Source organism: Homo sapiens, chromosome 13, assembly GCF_000001405.40.
Source record: "Homo sapiens chromosome 13, GRCh38.p14 Primary Assembly".
In the NCBI taxonomy this organism is placed as follows: domain Eukaryota; kingdom Metazoa; phylum Chordata; class Mammalia; order Primates; family Hominidae; genus Homo; species Homo sapiens.
This window is the reverse complement of record NC_000013.11, coordinates 105122616-105140616: the sequence shown is the minus strand read 5'-3', so window position 1 is coordinate 105140616 and position 18001 is coordinate 105122616. Positions and strand designations below refer to the sequence as shown.

Below are 18001 nucleotides of genomic sequence, written 5' to 3'. Positions count from 1 at the left end.
ATTAAATAAGACAGAGAAATCAGCAATACAAGACAACTGAATTTAAAACTTAACAGATTATTTGTGACCTGACCACTGAGTAAAAATACTCAGTAAAGTGGTTGGAATGGAAACAGTATTGTTTCTCAAGGGTACAATAAAAGACAATGACTTGGAGAGGTGACTGCAAAACAGAGTGACAAGATTCTAAGTAGAGCCATAAGACTCACTGTGAAAACAAATGTCCTGCTCTATTTGGTTCTAAAATTCATTATCTGCAAAAGTTCTACAATGCTGAGGGGCCATATTTTGTTTGTATGTTTCAACTCATACTTTACCTCTGCTGCCTCACAATAGCCTGCAAAAATAGCCACTGCCCCACAATACCTTGGAAGTAGGAACTGCGCCTCACGCAGGCCGCCTACAGGACAGGGAAGCAGCTGGAGACCCATGAGATGGCTGAACCAAACAGAATCCAGACCGGGCTTGCTTTGGAAATGTGGGGCAAGAAATACCAATTAAATAAGGCAGTGAGTGGTGGGAACTAAACTAAAATGCCATCTGGTAGGTCATGGATGGAGAGAACCACGGGGCTATCGATAAGCCAAAGCTGCAAGCTGTCAGTGACTCTGTGAAGAAACCGAAAGTCAATGCGTGCAGCGAGAAGAGGGTGATTGAGGAAGTGCTGCAGCATGGCTATGGGCGATAGAAAGACTGCAGCTCTTGACTCAAGCACGGAGGGAGGAGGTGGTTTTGAAACAGCCTCGGATGCTGACAGATTGCCTTCTGTAGCTCTAAGTCCTTAAAATAACCCAACTCGGTGGCTGTGTGTGGTTTTGTTTGTTTTGTTTGACCCAAATAGCTTGGAAGACTCAGACATCTTCTGTAGTCTCGGTTCTAGCAGTGCCAGAGCTAGATGAACCTGGTAGTTTAAATTTTCAAAGGGTTGGTAAACGATGTATGGTAAGCAGGAAAGAAAGGATAATGAGCACAGTAAGAGGAACTAGGGGAAAGGTACTTTGGTGAGGCTGAAACTGCTTCAGTTCCCGCTCTGCCTCTCTCTCTCATGAATCACTATGACCTGAATAGGGAGAAAACGAACGCACATGTTGGAAATCAGGTTGAGCGGATTTCACGTCATTTCCACATAGCACCCTATCCAGTGAGAGGAAATTATCTGCCTCTTTGTGAAAGTGACAGGGATGTGCAGGCACAGTGCAATTCCTTGGGGAAGTGAGGGCAGTGTCTGCATATAGTTATCAAGCAAGAAATTGTTGAGTGTTGCGATTGCAAAGAAAAGAACAGAATTGAGAACACCCGAGTCTTTATCGATCAAGCCCCAGAATAGCAATCATGACAGGGCAGGTTATGAGTTTAGCCAGCTGTGTGAGGTAACAAGGCCTCCTACAGCTCTTCTTTTGGGAGCTTCAGTTGAGTGATAAGTCATCCTCTCTCTAGAGTAAGGCAGTAGCAGGAAACAGCTGTATGCCAATTGTAAATTCTCCCACATTTCAGTGGAGATGTAGTCCAGGTCTTACTTGCCCCTGTGGATTATCTAAGGCAACTAAAATCAATTGATGAAATTTCCTTCCCACTGGGTTAATTTTCTGGAGCTGAAAACAGCCTTCTGAAAACCAGGAATCGATTCTGTGAAGCTCTTATAAATAGGAGAGTTAATAATTTGGTAAAAGTTTCCTCTTCTTATAAAAGATATTTTCTCCTCTCTCTCTGTTTTTTTTTTTTGAGACAGAGTCTTGCTGTGTCACCCAGACTGGAGTGCAGTGGTGCGATCTCGGCTCACTGCCAGCTCTGCCTCCCGGGTTCACGCCATTCTCCTGCCTCAGCCTCCCGAGTAGCTGGGACCACAGGCGCCCGCCACCACGCCCGGCTAAGTTTTTGTATTTTTAGTAGAGACAGGGTTTCACCGTGTTAGCCAGGATGGTCTCTGTCTCCTGACCTCGTGATCCGCCCTCCTCGGCTTCCCAAAGTGCTGGGATTACAGGCATGAGCCACTGCGCCTGGCCCATAAAGGATATTTTCTCTACCTCTAAGAAACTCCATGCCTAAAACATATGAAACATCAAAAAACATCCTGGATGATATCAGAGAGAAAGAGCATCAGCAAGTGTTTGCTGGCATTAGCAGGTACTATGCTAATATATAGGCCATGGTATATGTAAAGCAAAAATAAAAGAAAGAAAAAAAGAAAGCTGATTACACAAGACCAGTATGTCCTGATGATTGCAGTTGTGTTAGGAAATCTTTTAGTTAATTCTAACATCCTTTGTTTTCTTATCTTTAGCATTTGTACTTCTGTTTTGGTGGTCATTGCAGAATTACTTTGGTATTCACTAATCACTATTAATTCATATGCAAGTAGCCATTTAAATATGTTTCCCTTTGGAATGAATATTAGCTACTATGGTTAATAAATAAAAGTAATTTTGGGGAGTTCTCTGGGACTAGGAAATTATGTAGCCTTTTACATAATTAATCTTTAAGTTCCATTGGTTGCAAGTAATGATGATCGTCTTTTGACAATTTATTGTATAGGTGTAACAAGAATTTTAGTTTTGGGAAATTCTACCCCACAAGAGATTCTTTTGAATATTCTTTCTGTAGAGTTCCAAGTAATGAAAAGAAAAACTACTGTTTATTGAACATCCATTCCATAATCTGTCTTTAAATATAGTTGTCTTTCAATGCAAATAATAAGTTTTTCTTATACATGTTTTTCAGATAATATGTAAAATATTTTTCACATTCATTCAAGGTATTTTAAGCACCAAATGACATTACTTATGGACCATTCTATTCTTCTGTTGTGTTTAATCTCAAAATAATAAGATAAGCAACTATAAATTAGTGAATACTTGCCATGACACATAGACTTTGCATATTGTAGCTTATTTAGTAGATAATAAAAATTATTTTGCATATAAAGAAACTGAGACTAGTAGAAGATAAGTAGCTTGATCAAAATCTAAGATCTCTGTCCTGCATATTCTAGTTTTGCCTCTTTGGCTCTCCTTTCTAATCTTTTTCTCCCTGTTCTGTGGCCCAGAAAGCTACCTCTATGGGTCATGTAAACTCAGCTCTTTTGTATTCTGTTTCCTGATTGGCGTCAGCCAATAGACAGCACCAACAGTCATCAGATGGTAGGAAGAGAGAGAGCAGCAAGGGTATTTATTCCTCTGCCTTCTTTCTTAACAATGCACGTTTTGGCTTTGGCTGCGTTCCTTTTAAAAGGCACAACTTCTGCTGGTCAGTCTTCTTCTACAGCTACCGGTTTCTGTGTTGCAATAAATGCTCCCTTTCTTTGCCCTTTCAGACCTGGGGCAGTAATGCCTCCATGCTTATCAACGCTAGGGTTCTTATTATTCATGGTTGGCTAACACAGGACAACCAACACCATTATAAATTACTCATTATATTCTATGAAATCTCTTCAATTCACCTCCTGAGAGTGCATCAATTTCTTCCAGGACTTTGACTGATATAGAAATTGTCACCAGAATTGGCTGGAGGAAGCAGAACCTTAGATTGGAATTCTGGTATTAAATCATTCACATATTTAATGAATGCATTTATTATCTCCCTTGCCGGGGAAAATGGAATATGATGATCTGTGTCATATGGTGGCATCATGAAGGCAGGTAGAGGGCAAGGCATTTGGAGAGCAGATGACTGTGACTCAGTAGCCATAACTAGAATGATAAGTGTAATAAGCAAAGCTCAGGCTGCTGTTGCTGGTGGTTCTAAAAAGGATATCCAGGGAAGTGAACCAACTAAAAGACTGGAATGTAAGCCCAACTCAAGGCTCACATGAGGAACTCAGATGGCCGCCAAGACAGCTTTAAAAATGGCCTTAATCTGCCATAGCTCCAGGGCAGATATGGCTGAAACTCAAGCCCAGTTCCCAACTGCAGTTGTCACAGAACTGCAGCACTAATGAATGTGACCCTCCAGAATTATTTTACTAAGGAGATCTAAGGGAAGAGTGGGTGTTACTGAGATATGGGATGGAGATATCCCCGCAGACAAAAGCAAGGCTAGTAACTTTTAACCCTTAAGTCATCCTAAAGGTTCCTTATCTGGTAAAGTAAGGATTTTCTGCTGAGTGAAAGAATCAGGCTTCTCTTGAAACTCTTGCAGTGACTCCCCCTGGAGCACTTGTCTTTTCTGCTCACCACCTTCATGGCTCCCAGACCCACAATAAAAATCAGATTCCAACAGACCCCAGTTGGAGGAGTAAAAAACTCCTGTAGGAGAAAGGAATTCTATACACCAAAAAAGTGGCAGATTCAATTGACAGGAATCTAGGGAACATATTGGAGTGGATTCTGAGAGTGTTAGACCAAAAAGCATAAAAAAACAGGGTGATATACCCTACAGGGAGCAAGGATTTTGTAAGCAGCTGGAAGCAGCACTGATAGTTTAACTAAGTTAGTGAATTCAGTCTGACTTATCTTAATCAGTGGGGTTGAATTGCAAAGCTGCTCTGGCAAACTCTGTATCAGAGATCAACCAAACCATGAGCCAAACCCAGCCAGCCAGCTTGTTTTTGTAAATAAGGTATTATTGGAACACAGATGCTCAAACTCAGTAATGCCTTATCTATGCATGTTTTTGTACTACAATGGCAGTTAGATCGTTTTGACAGATACTGTACAGTTCACAAAACCTAAAATGTTTGTGGTCTGGTACTCTCTAAGAAAGGATTTTTGGCCCCTGCACTAAAGGAAGGAACAAAAGCGCTAGCACAAAGGAATATTGGAGTAGATTAATTTAGAAGAACCTGCTGTCATCCCTCCTGTTCCCCTGCTATATCTCTGGTAAGGCTGGACAACACCTTTTCCTTCACCGGGACCTAAAGAAATGTAATAATATTTCTCCTGCAAAGGTCATGGGTGCATTGGTTGATGTTGCAATCCATGTAGACTCAGGGGTTGAGCAAAGTTTTGTGAGTCCTATGGCTGCTACAAATTCGAAGTCCTTATTTAAGTAAAATGCACAATATTACCAATGCAAAAAAATACAAGGAATATTGATTTATGATGATAGAAAAACATCACAAAATATGGAACTTTAAGGACAGTTGTCAAATAGAACTAACATTACAAAATCCAAAAATGAAAACTTTTTTTAAGAACAATTTACTTTTTGATCAATTCTTTAAGTTTTTATTTTTATTTTTCTCTCTCTCTCTATTGGGATAGCTTTTCTGTTTTTGGTTTAGTTTAGTTGTGTTTTGTTTTGATGCATAAAACTTCTTTTTTTAAATTATACTTTAAGTTTTAGGGTACATGTGCACAACGTGCAGGTTATTTACATGTGTATACATGTGCCATGTTGGTGTGCTGCACCCATTAACTCGTCATTTAACATTAGGTATATCTCCTAAGGCTATCCCTCCCCGCTCCCCCCACCCCACAACAGGCCCTGGTGTGTGATGTTCCCCTTCCTGTGTCCATGTGTTCTCACTGTTCAATTCCCACCTATAAGTGAGAACATGTGGTGTTTGGTTTTTTGTCCTTGTGATAGTTTGCTGAGAATGATGGTTTCCAGTTTCATCCATGTCCCTACAAAGGACATGAACTCATCTTTTTTATGGCTGCATAGTATTCCATGGTGTATATGTGCCACATTTTCTTAATCCAGTCTATCATTGTTGGACATTTGGGTTGGTTCCAAGTCTTTGCTATTATGAATAGTGCTGCAATAAACATATGTGTGCATGTGTCTTTATAGCAGCATGACTTATAATCCTTTGGGTATATACCCAGTAATGGGATGGCTGGGTCAAATGGTATTTCTAGTTCTAGATCCCTGAGGAATCGCCACACTGAATTCCACAATTGTTGAACTAGTTTAAAGTCCCACCAACGGCGTAAAAGTGTTCCTATTTCTCCACATCCTCTCCAGCACCTGCTGTTTCCTGACTTTTTAATGATCGCCATTCTAACCGGTGTGAGATGGTATCTCATTGTGGTTTTGATTTGCATTTCTCTGATGGCCAGTGATAATGAGCATTTTTTCATGTGTCTTTTGGCTGCATAAATGTCTTATTTTGAGAAATGTGTGTTCATATCCTTTGCCCACTTTTTGATGGGGTTGTTTTTTTCTTGTAAATTTGTTTGAGTTCATTGTAGATTCTGGATATTAGCCCTTTGCCAGATGAGTAGATTGCAAAAATTTTCTCTCATTCTGTAGGTTGCCGATTCACTCTGATGGTAGTTTCTTTTGCTGTGCAGAAGCTCTTTAGTTTAACTAGATCCGATTTGTCAATTTTGGCTTTTGTTGCCATTGCTTTTGGTGTTTTAGACATGAAGTCCTTGCCCATGCCTATGTCCTGAATGGTATTGCCTGGGTTTTCTTCTAGGGTTTTTACAGTTTCAGGTCTAACATTTAAGTCTTTAATCCATCTTGAATTAATTTTTGTATAAGGTGTAAGGAAGGGATCCAGTTTCAGCTTTCTACATACGGCTAGCCAGTTTTCCCAGCACCATTTATTAAATAGGGAATCCTTTCCCCATTGCTTGTTTTTCTCAGGTTTGTCAAAGATCAGGTAGTTGTAGATATGCAGCATTATTTCTGAGGGCTCTGTTCTGTTCCATTGGTCTATATCTCTGTTTTGGTACCAGTACCATGCTGTTTTGGTTACTGTAGCCTTGTAGTATAGTTTGAAGTCAGGTAGTGTGATGCCTCCAGCTTTGTTGTTTTGGCTTAGGATTGACTTGGCAATGCAGGCTCTTTTTTGGTTCCATATGAACTTTAAAGTAGTTTTTTCCAATTCTGTGAAGAAAGTCATTGGTAGCTTGATGGGGATGGCACTGAATCTATAAATTACCTTGGGCAGTATGGCCATTTTCATGATATTGATTCTTCCTATCCATGAGCATGGAATGTTCTTCCATTTGTTTGTATCCTCTTTTATTTCATTGAGCAGTGGTTTTATTTCTCCTTGAAGAGGTCCTTCATGTCCCTCGTAAGTTGGATTCCTAGGTATTTTATTCTGTTTCAAGCAATTGTGAATGGGAGTTCACTCATGATTTGGCTCTCTGTTTGTCTGTTATTGGTATAAGAATGCTTGTGATTTTTGCACATTGATTTTGTATCCTGAGACTTTGCTGAAGTTGCCTATCAGCTTAAGGAGATTTTGGGCTGAGACAATGGGGTTTTCTAGATATACAATCATGTCATCTGCAAACAGGGACAATTTGACTTCCTCTTTTCCTAATTGAATACCCTTTATTTCCTTCTCCTGCCTGATTGCCCAGGCCAGAACTTCCAACACTATGTTGAATAGGAGTGGTGAGAGAGGGCATCCGTGTCTTGTTCCAGTTTTCAAAGGGAATGCCTCCAGTTTTTGCCTATTCAGTATGATATTGGCTGTGGGTTTGTCATAGATAGCTCTTATTATTTTGAGATACGTGTTCTTAACAGTGGTTCCACAGTGGTAGAGGTCAAATAGTAACATTTAGCTATGAGATAAAGTGCACCCAATTACCATAATATGCTTTGAGTTATCTGTGGTTGTTGCTGATTCATCACTAATATCTCGGAAAGATGTAGATGAGTAACCCTTTTAGGTACTGTTTGACATATATAATAGGATAAGGTAAAGGTTGTTGAAATCGAGTTGAGTTGAAGTAGTGAAGATTCATGAACTGGATGTTCATGTCACCCCAACATTCATATGTTGAAACCCTAATTCTGAATTAGATAGTATTTGGAGGTGGGCCTTTGAGAGGTAATTAGTTCATGAAAGTGGAACCCTCATGATAGAATCAGTTCCATTAAAAAAAGAGAAAGAGACATGAAATCCTCTCTCTTTCTTCTGTGAGGATACAGGAGAAGAAAGCCACTTGCAAACCAGGAAGTAGGCCTTCGCCAGATACAGAATCTGCTGACACATTGACTTTGGATTTCCTGGCTTCCAGGATTAGGAGAAATGAATGTCAATTGTTTAAGCCACCCAGTCTTGGGTGTGCTGTTATAGCAGCCTGAACTAAGATACTAGCTTAAGTCAATTCACAAAACTGGCTCTCCTCAACTGATAGGAAGCCAGTTTAATGGAGGAAGAACTTATATCACAGGCTTCTGTGGTATCTGAGAATATCTCTCCAAACCTCTTCCTAAAGGTACCTGTAGACATTTACCTGAGTGTCTGTTAGTAAAAAGGCAACACATAGAATTTGTGATTTATGTTGTCTGTGTTCTTATACTAATCTGCTGAGCTTCCACCAAGATCCATTGCTAATAGTAAGAACTTACAGAGGTCAAGGGATAAATGGATTCTTGGCTTAAGTCCATTTCACTGGGGTCCAACTGAACCCCAAATCCATCTTGTAGTTATTGTATTGTATGTTTTAGAAGGCATAGTGAGAGTAGATATACTCAGTGACATGCAGGACCTTCACATTGGCTACCATATTTGTGAACTGAGCTATTATATTAGGAAAGGACAAGCAGAGTCCCTGAAACTGTCCCCTTTTACCCATCATCCCTCACAGTAACCAACTGAAAGCATTATTGCATCCATAAAAGCACAGAAGAATTTTGTGCCACCATCAAGAGGTACAGGGGTCTTCCCAGCACGTCTCTGTATGACTGGCCTGAATGGCCAGTTGAAAAAGGCAGGTGGGAAATGCAGAGTGAAAAGGAATAATTAAAAATATAATTGGGTGGTCTCACTAATTCCAACTGTAATAGTTTGTGTGTTATCTTTATTGGATCAAACAGTGTTAACATTTGGCATGTGGCATGCAGCTACCGACATAGTACTGTGCTTTCTTTCCAACAGCCTTTAACAATGACAGCCAGGTCAATTTGCCTCCTGAGACGTGGACAGCAGTGCCATCACCTTTTCTTAACTCAGGATAATATCTACTCTCCTGCTCTCTGAAATATGTAGATTTCAGGACCCTCAGTCACCTTAATAGTACATAGAACATCATACTCTCTGTTCATTGATGATACTGCGCTAATTGGATCTGGTGAGTACAGTGCAGCAGGCTTTAATATGAGAATATGACAGAGAAAAGATACAAGGCTCATGTAAATCCAAGAGCCTCACAAATTGGAGAGGTTCTTAGCAGTCCAATAATCGGGGAATCTTAAAAATATTCTGAGATAATTTTCTGTATCTTGCACTATCTACCATGAAGAAAAAGCCACATTTTGGTAGACTGTTCGGCCCACTGACCAAAATCTGTTAGACTGATATATTTTAGAGGACCTGAACCAAGTCCAATTTTGCAACAGTTCCTAGATACAGTATAAGCTTCCCTGCCTCTCACTTAAGGCCTAGGCATATCATTGGCAAATAAGAAGACTCTGAAAAGCCCCACTAGGAGAATCACAGTACTAGTTCTATTCTATTTACAATTATTCGCCATTTCAAAATTAGTTCCTAAGATTGAGCACCTGACAACTTGATATAGGTAACCAAGAGATTATGCAACTTAACGGCCCACTATGAACTGCTATTGTATGATCCTTAAACCACAAAATTTGATGTGCACAATAGCATTTTATTGTTAAATGGGAATGACATTTATAAAGCTGGGCCTCTGAAAGTCCAGTGGAGCTAAGTTAATTCTAATTTGTGATTGGGAGGTACTCATGACAGAAAATCGCCATTTTGACATACCCCAAACACAGCAGCACAAAGCAACTGCCTGTGATTGTCAATTATCTGCACTAACTTTGAATAGACAACTGAGAGTAAAATTGACCATTAGCTGTTATTAATCTTTTAAATAGCTTATTTATCAGGACAATATTTTCTTTGAGGAATGGTTTCACATCGTTGATAAACAGTTTCCTATTACTAACATTAAACTAAATAATATATGTCATATTTCTTTTTTACCCTTAGAAAGTTAATCTAATAATATTATTCTGATTAGTGGTACTTTTTTTAATTTTTGTAATGTTGTTTATGGTGTTTGATTTGTACTTTTTTGTCTTTTTCATACCTTTTAATAACATCCGATTTACTACTGGAGCATTTTATTTTCATCGTCTCTTAAAATACTTAATAACTTTTAGATTTGTTGTTCACAAAACTAAATAATTGCTTGATGTTTCATTTTATCCTTCTTATTAAATAGGCAGCTCGTGTACATATGAAAGTGTCTTTTTATACACCGAAACCAATCTATACAGAACCCTAACATTTTGCATGGCTTCTAAAAGCAAAATTTTCCTCAAATTTGTCACCACCTATAATTTTGACATTTCTCCCAGTGTCACATGATTCTTGGTGTTCCTAATAGATCAGTAGTGATTAATCTACTTCCCATATCCAACATCATCCTGGGTTCATGCCAGCTGGGTCTCTGAATGAATTGCAGCAAAGAAAGTGATTTGTTATTAAGACTGGTACTGTCAGGCATGTAGCACCCTTGATGAGTGAAGTTTCCCTCAGTAAGCTTATTTCTTTTTCCCCTCAAGTCTTACCAGGAGTTTGCACCCTTGCAAAGAAATGGCACAATTGCCAGTCTAGGCAAGATGAAGAGGTAGCTGAGGGCTTAGAGAAATCATTATAAGATCATACCTTCAAGTCTGTATTTCAGTGATAGTATAATATGGGTTACTAAGACCGAACAGTACACATTCACATGCATTCCTTTAGGCTTTGTGAGTATCAGCAAGTATTAATATGTCAGACATATTGAGAAGAAAACAGTATTGGGACATATCTAGAAAGGTTAAAGGAAAAAGCAAGATTCCTTTTAGAAGGTTTGGCTGATGAGTCTCAAAGCTTGTTTCTTCCTATAATGGTGTTTTGTACTTATTGCTATCATTATATTCACCATGCCTGTTTCTAATAGACTCCTACAGCTCATAGAAGCAACTCAGCCTCATAGTCTTTCTAATTCTAAACATAGACATTTGTTATGAATAAACGTCTCTTAAAGCATCCTTCTTGATGAGATCGTCACTCTGTCTCTGATTTTCTTGATACCTCTTATTATGACAATTAACTAAGGATGTTTCTGAAACATATTCCCTTACCTTGCCTACTCTGACAATCATTACAGTGCATTACATTCATCTCCAAATTCCTTTAAGTAATTCATAATAGTGTGTGGAGGACTGAGATATTTGGAATCCCACTTATACCTGTAAAGATTACTCTTAAAATAATCATTTGTCATTTTAATTTCATTTTACTTAGTCTCACTTTCAAAATGCAAAACTATTACTTTCTCTTTAATAGTATGAACAAGGGGAATACTGTAGACTCAAATCTTAGGTTGCCTGCTTCATTCCTTTATCTCATTACAATTCCATCAGTTTCACTTTTTATTCCTGTCTCATCTGATATTTCTTTCTTTTATTGAGATTTCTGAGATGCTTGATTTTTGTTTTCATTTGGTATATATTTTTCTATTATAATCCTGAAACTTCCAGAAAGTTAAGAAAGACACTTTTTGATTCCAACTTTCATTTACCTCTTTGGGGAAGCCATTGTGCATGCTAACGGGTGTCCACCTTGTGCAAATAATCCCAGATCCACAAAGCACTAGGAGAATTAGCCTTTGTCTTTTGCTCTTCTATGGTTACCTCTATTAAGGTATTCATCAATAAACATGCAAGGAAATGCTTCTCTGCAATTGCTGTCATTTACTACCTAGTGATGTGACAAGTAAGGTAGAAAAAAACGTGCAAGTAGACCAGATTTCAAGCAGGCGTGCTTCGAATCATAAACTTAAACTACACTGTAAACTTCTTCCATTTTTCCCCTGTCGACCATACTCAGTTTTCCACATTTTCTAGTCTCGTCTATGGCACTCCCTAGGAAAATCACACAAGTGGTTAAGTTAAGCTTGTAAACATATGACTTTTGAGTAATTGTCAATAACTTGGAAAGAGACTTACTTTAGCATATCTTTTTGTGATGTATGGCTAGTTCTTTCTTGGTCATTACACTAATGCTGTTTGGTTTTGTTTAAATATTATGTTTCTGAGATCAGAATTATGGAAGAACTAGAAATTTACGTTTGACTTTATCTTAGAGAAATCATTTGGGATTAAACTATATTACATTGTTATTTTCATTGTCTGTGCACTTTTGTTTCTGTTTGCTATCAGGCACTTTTTCCATGGATTAAGTTTACTGATTTCTAAAATATTATTAGAACACACTAATATAATTTATTGTCAATAAATTATTATTATTTTACCTATTAAGAAATCTAAGAAACAAATCCTGCGTGGATGCTAGAATTTATTACAATGCCACTTATTATGATGCCACTTTAAGTCAAATAATTATGCATCATCAAGCACCCAACACACTGTCTGGGACATCATATAAATGTGAGGATGTATTGGAACTGGCACAGAGTAGGATCGAATCCCAGCGATTTCATCCAATTACTTGAGACTGGAAAAGTAAACCATTTAAATAGAGAAACCCTTAGTTATGTAATACTAAATTAGAAATAGTATTATCAGATTGGCCGAGTTGCTGTGAGAATTAATAAATTGTTGCATATAAATATAAATTGTCTTTTTAATAAAAAAAATGGATCAATCCTCCCAGTGAAAATAACTAGAAAATATGGGAAAAATACATTGTAAAAAGTCTCTCTGAAGGCATTAGAGAGATGCCAAGGTTGCTTGGACTTGAGGAGCTAAGTCCTGGAGACTAGGGACACTCATGCAGTGTGAATGATGTGGCATTTCCTTCTAAGGGACTCCCTGATCCTTAAGTGGCTGGGCTGAGAAGCTAAGTCAAACCGAGTGTGTCCTAGGGGGCAGGGAAACAAGGAAGAGAAAACTACACACACAAAAAATCCCTTTAAAATGACTACGTATGCAAGTTAAAGAGTAAAAACCAAGATAGAAAACATTACCTTTTCTTATATGTGACTACTTATACCTTAATTTTTTTGGGAAAAAAAAAAGTATAATTAACTAGCTAAATGGAGTTGGAGGAAAACTATCCTGTCTTGCGTGAGATAAGTATTACATGCTTTCGTGATGCAACAGTTATTTGACTTTTATTTTCCAGATGCAAGTTCTTACTTTTGTGCTTAGAAGAGTAATGTTCCTAGGTTGAAATTAGGGACATTATGAGGAGAATTGCTTTACCCTTCAATCATTACTATAACCTCTTTCCTATATCTATATGCAATGAAAATCAATAGGCAAAACTTATGGCTCTTTTGAGTTCCCTAGATTCTATGGTAAATGAAAAGCCAAAGAATGACCAACATATTTGTGAAAGAAAGCAAAAAAGAGAGTATGATAAACTTCCATAAATTAGATATTAAAATTTGCCTGAATTTCTAAACTTTTTCAGAGGATGTTATAAGTGCTTCAAAACTTCTGGCATAATAAAAGAGAATAATATTTACTGATGCTTAATTTTTTTCACAACAATTTTTAAAGGTGTAAAAAAGTTTTATAATAGGATGTATAATATGATCACACATTTCTTTGAAAGCTATTATACATATAAGAATAAATATCTCAAAAGATCATGCATCAAAGAATGTAAAATTGCTTACCACAATATGGAAGGACTCAAGGTGATTTTTATATCATTCTATATTTCCTTTGCTTTCTATTTTTTTTTTTTTTTTGAGACAGAGTCTCGCTCTGTTGCCCAGGCTGGAGTGCAGTGGCATGATCTCCACTCACTGCAAGCTCCGTCCCCTGGGTTCATGCCATTCTCCTGCCTCAGCTTCCTGAGTAGCTGGGACTACAGGTGCCCGCCACCACGCCTGGCTAATTTTTTTGTATTTTTAGTAGAGACGGGGCTTTACCGTGTTAGCCAGGATGGTCTCTATCTCCTGACCTCGTGATCTGCCTGCCTTGGCCTCCCAAAGTGCTGGGATTACAGGCGTGAGCTACTGCGCCCAGTCTGCTTTCTATTGTTTCTTAAACATGAATTATGTCAATAAATTATGGAACATACTAACATGGATGTCATCAGTTCTATCAGTGCTTTTTCTAACCATTTCCAAAAATTAAATGGGTAAAATCTTGGTTTTTGCTCTTGCTTTGTTTTACTCTTACCTTTTACTCTGATACGGATTCATTGCCTTTCTACATGTTTTGTATTGCTGAATCAATCAGGTATTAATCAACTACTTGTGGAGTGCATTGTTAAGGTGCATCTGGAATATCAGATCACTGAAGATTGAGTGCCCATTTTGTGCCAAGGGCTGCCTCAGTATTATCATTTCTACCAATACATTTTGGCCTCACATAATCATATGAATTAGGCACAATTCTATTAATTGTTAATAACATAAATTCAGAACACATTGGTAAATACACATAGCATCTTATTTGGTATTAACGGCAACAGTTAAATTGCATATTATTATCTCCATTTTACAACTAAGGAAACTGAGGCTCAAAGGGTTTATTGTAAGTAACTGACAGTTATTCAGGAATTAAGTATCACATTCAGTATCCAAATACATATTCCACACACTCAAGATACTTTGCTCCTCCCTACAATCCCTTGCTCAATGCCAGGAGAAGACTAAGATTTTAAAAGATTATATCTCCATGGACACTTAGTAGATAAGAGCTGGAATTGAGATTGCAATCTATGATTTTTGACTCTTTTCAATAAAATTGTGTTAGTATGTTGGGATATATGTGTCTGTCTATCTATCTATCATCTATCGCATAATAACCCATACATTCCTTATTCCCCGTGGGCATTGCCATTAAAATTTATCATAGTATACTAGCATTTATTAGAGGCTCCCAATTAAAAATTTATATTAAACACACAATGGTAATTGTAGTTTCTTGCCAAGACAGAAGTTGTTGCAGCTTGTCAATATTCTTGATTCTTTTTTCCTTCTGGAAGATGTTAGGTGGATTATTATTTCTATTCCTCTTGAAGTTAGGCATAATTGTGTGATATGAGATCATTTTAAGGTGGAAACATTTCAGAGCTGATGTGTGATTACTCATGCTCTTTTTTCCTTCTGTGGCAAACCTTGACATCTTGCATTGAGATGCATAGTAAGATGGTGGAAGCTCTGCTATGTGGGATGATTGCAGGTTCACCCAGCCAACCCGCATGGGACATGGAGCATAAACAATAAAGAAATGTTTTCGTTAGGAGCCAATGAGATTTTGAGATACTCCTTACTGCATCATAACCTAGTCAGTACTAATCACCCCTGACTAACTACATCTATGATTTGATTGACTGTTGAATAAACACTTACATTCTTTCAAACATTAAATTTTTTTGAGTGTTTAATTACGCCAAACAATATGCTAGAATCTATATGTATTATGGTGGGTAAAATATAGAAATAACATCTTTTCTCATAAAATGTACATGATTCAGGACTCGCTTGACTATTTTACTTTAGGAATACAGAGAAACATGACATGGTCTGCAATTTCCCCAACATATAAAAAATGATAAAAATTTGTTTTTTTTAAGCAAAATACAAGAAATTTTAATATTTGAATTATTACTGTATTTATAACAATATTAACTTTGGTTTATAAGAAGGGATAGATAAAATGTATACTTAAGAGGCTTACCAAATGATTGGTGGAGAGCAGTTTATGTGTGTGTGTAGAATTAATAGGCCAAATGCCATTATGCTGAGAGCCAAGGCTTAGACAAAAAAAACTACAGATAAAACTGTTTCAATGATTTATGCCATCTTTACGTCCTCTACCACTCTCCACATGGTCTACACACTTTATAATTTTACTCTTTATACATTGCTTTTCTTACTTTGTTCACCTATATAAGACAGCTTGTGTTGTCATTTTTCAGAGTTACATCATTGGTAGCTATTTGGAAACTTTACGTGAGACAGATACCAAGTGTGTTATCTTGTGCTACTTCATGGTGAAAAGAGTTGAAATTTGATTCTCTGTTTACCATGTTAAGAAAGAGCCACCACTTCAGTAAACCATAAGCCCCCACCACCCACCTGAATCCCCCTCCCAGACAATGCACAGAGTGAGTGAGCAGAGCTGGACGTGGCTGATGTTTCAAGGCTTGGCTCCCCACCTCATGAGACAATCTCAGCGTTTAGTAGTTTAGCAGGCCCTCCAGAATTTTCTGGTCAGGCATAAAAAACAGTACCTTCTGATGAGAAAGATTTCACAAAGGTTACTCAGATTTCTTTGTTATTTCTGCAGTTCATTTTAATAGAACTGTATGTGTTTTTGTTTGTTTGTTTGTTTCTGTTTTTGAGACAGAGTCTCGCTCTGTGGCCCAGGCTGGAGTGCAGTGGCGCAATCTCAGCTCACTGCAAACTCTGCCTCCCGGGTTCACAGCATTCTCCTGCCTCAGCCTCCCGAGTAGCTGGGACTACAGGCGCCCGCCACCACGCCCGGCTAATTTTTTCTTTTTTTTTTTAGTAGAGACGGGGTTTTACCGTGTTTGCCAGGATGGTCCCGATCTGCTGACCTCGTGATCTGCCCGCTTCGGCCTTCCAAAGTGCTGGGATAACAGGCATGAGCCACCGTGCCTGGCCAAATTGTTTGTGTTTTGGAGTTAAATTAACAGGTAAGTGATTGGAGCTATGGAAGTCCATCTATATTTTTACATTAACTTCTATTGAAATGATTTCCGGCATATCTTAAGTACATTTGTATTTTCCTAAAATTCACTGATTCAGTGTGAAATACGTCAACATTTTGACTCCACAATGATAAAACCTACAAGAAAAAAAGAGGGGGAAACCTAAAATATCCATTGAGAGTGGAATACTTTCTGGCATGTTCATATAAAGGAACACTACGTAGTAATGGAAATTAGTGAGCTACTGCAAAATACATCAACATGAATATTTCTGACAAAGCTGCTGTTGAGTAAAATGCCAGACATAAAATATCACATATTACTATTTGTATAAAGTTGAAAAACACAAAATCAAATTATATACATATATTAATATTAAGAGTTTATATTATAGCATTAATCTAATAATAAGGGTTACTGCTAGAGAGGAAGGTTATATGTTTTAGAAGCTTCTGTATTCTGATAATTTCCTATTTTCTGATTAGGTTGTTATTTATATGGGTTACTCACCAAACTACTTATTCAACAAACTGTACTTTTATTATTTGCACAGTTTAGTGGCTGTCTGTTATACAATAAGGAGAATTTCATTTAAAGATCTAATACTTTTGGTACTTGTATCCTCTTCTTAAGCATTGCAATGCCTTACAATCAACTTAAAACTTCTGTATCCTCCCCAATTGTATGCTATTTTTTATATACTATGTATTTATATTTTATCATGTTTAGCATTTCATTATTCCTCATCCTTTACTCTCTCCCTCCCTCTGTGATTCTTTTCCATGTGTCTGGAAAACACCCGTCATGTCTCCCTTGGTGTAGGTCAGCTAGTGATACATTCTCTCCATTCAGTTTTTGACTGTGAAATAGATATTTTAATTCACATTAATTTTGGGCTAGATGATTGGATAGAAAATCATTGGTTTATTTTAATACATAAACTAATTCTATCTTCTTTTTGATTCATATTTGTGTTCTTGTTGAATATACTCAGCTGTCAGATCTCATCTCTGCTGTAGCTTTTTGTGTTTTACCATATAATTCTATGTATGTTTCTCTTTTTTTTGTTAAATGGAAATTAGATGAAATAAGTGAAAATTATATTAAAAAGCTTTTTATTAGTTCACCTGAATCAAAATTTTACTGTGATTAGCAAGCACTTTACATCATTATCTTATTTAACTACATGAGGAGGAGTTATTTTCATATCTCTATTTTATGAATAAAGAAACATGCAGAGAAAGACTAGGAGACTTGCTTAAATGCTCACAGCTAGAAACAGGTGGAACAAAATTTCAAAATCAAATTTGCCTAACTACAAAATTTATGTTCTTGATTTCTGCACTATGCTGTCTCTGATATGCATTTTTAAATAAACAATGGAAGTTTAACTTAGAAGATTTTTTGAAATCTGTATTCTTATATTTCCACTAAAATATGAATCCATTATAAGCATATACCACAATTATACACCCCACA

General features: G+C 37.3%; 2 annotated features.

Annotated features, from left to right (window-relative positions):
- Positions 357-766: an enhancer, noted in NCBI's record as "active region_7978". NCBI's record gives its function as "activates an Ori minimal core promoter by ATAC-STARR-seq in GM12878 lymphoblastoid cells {active_cell/tissue: GM12878}" and the evidence as "EXISTENCE:reporter gene assay evidence [ECO:0000049][PMID:35858748]".
- Positions 817-1026: an enhancer, noted in NCBI's record as "active region_7977". NCBI's record gives its function as "activates an Ori minimal core promoter by ATAC-STARR-seq in GM12878 lymphoblastoid cells {active_cell/tissue: GM12878}" and the evidence as "EXISTENCE:reporter gene assay evidence [ECO:0000049][PMID:35858748]".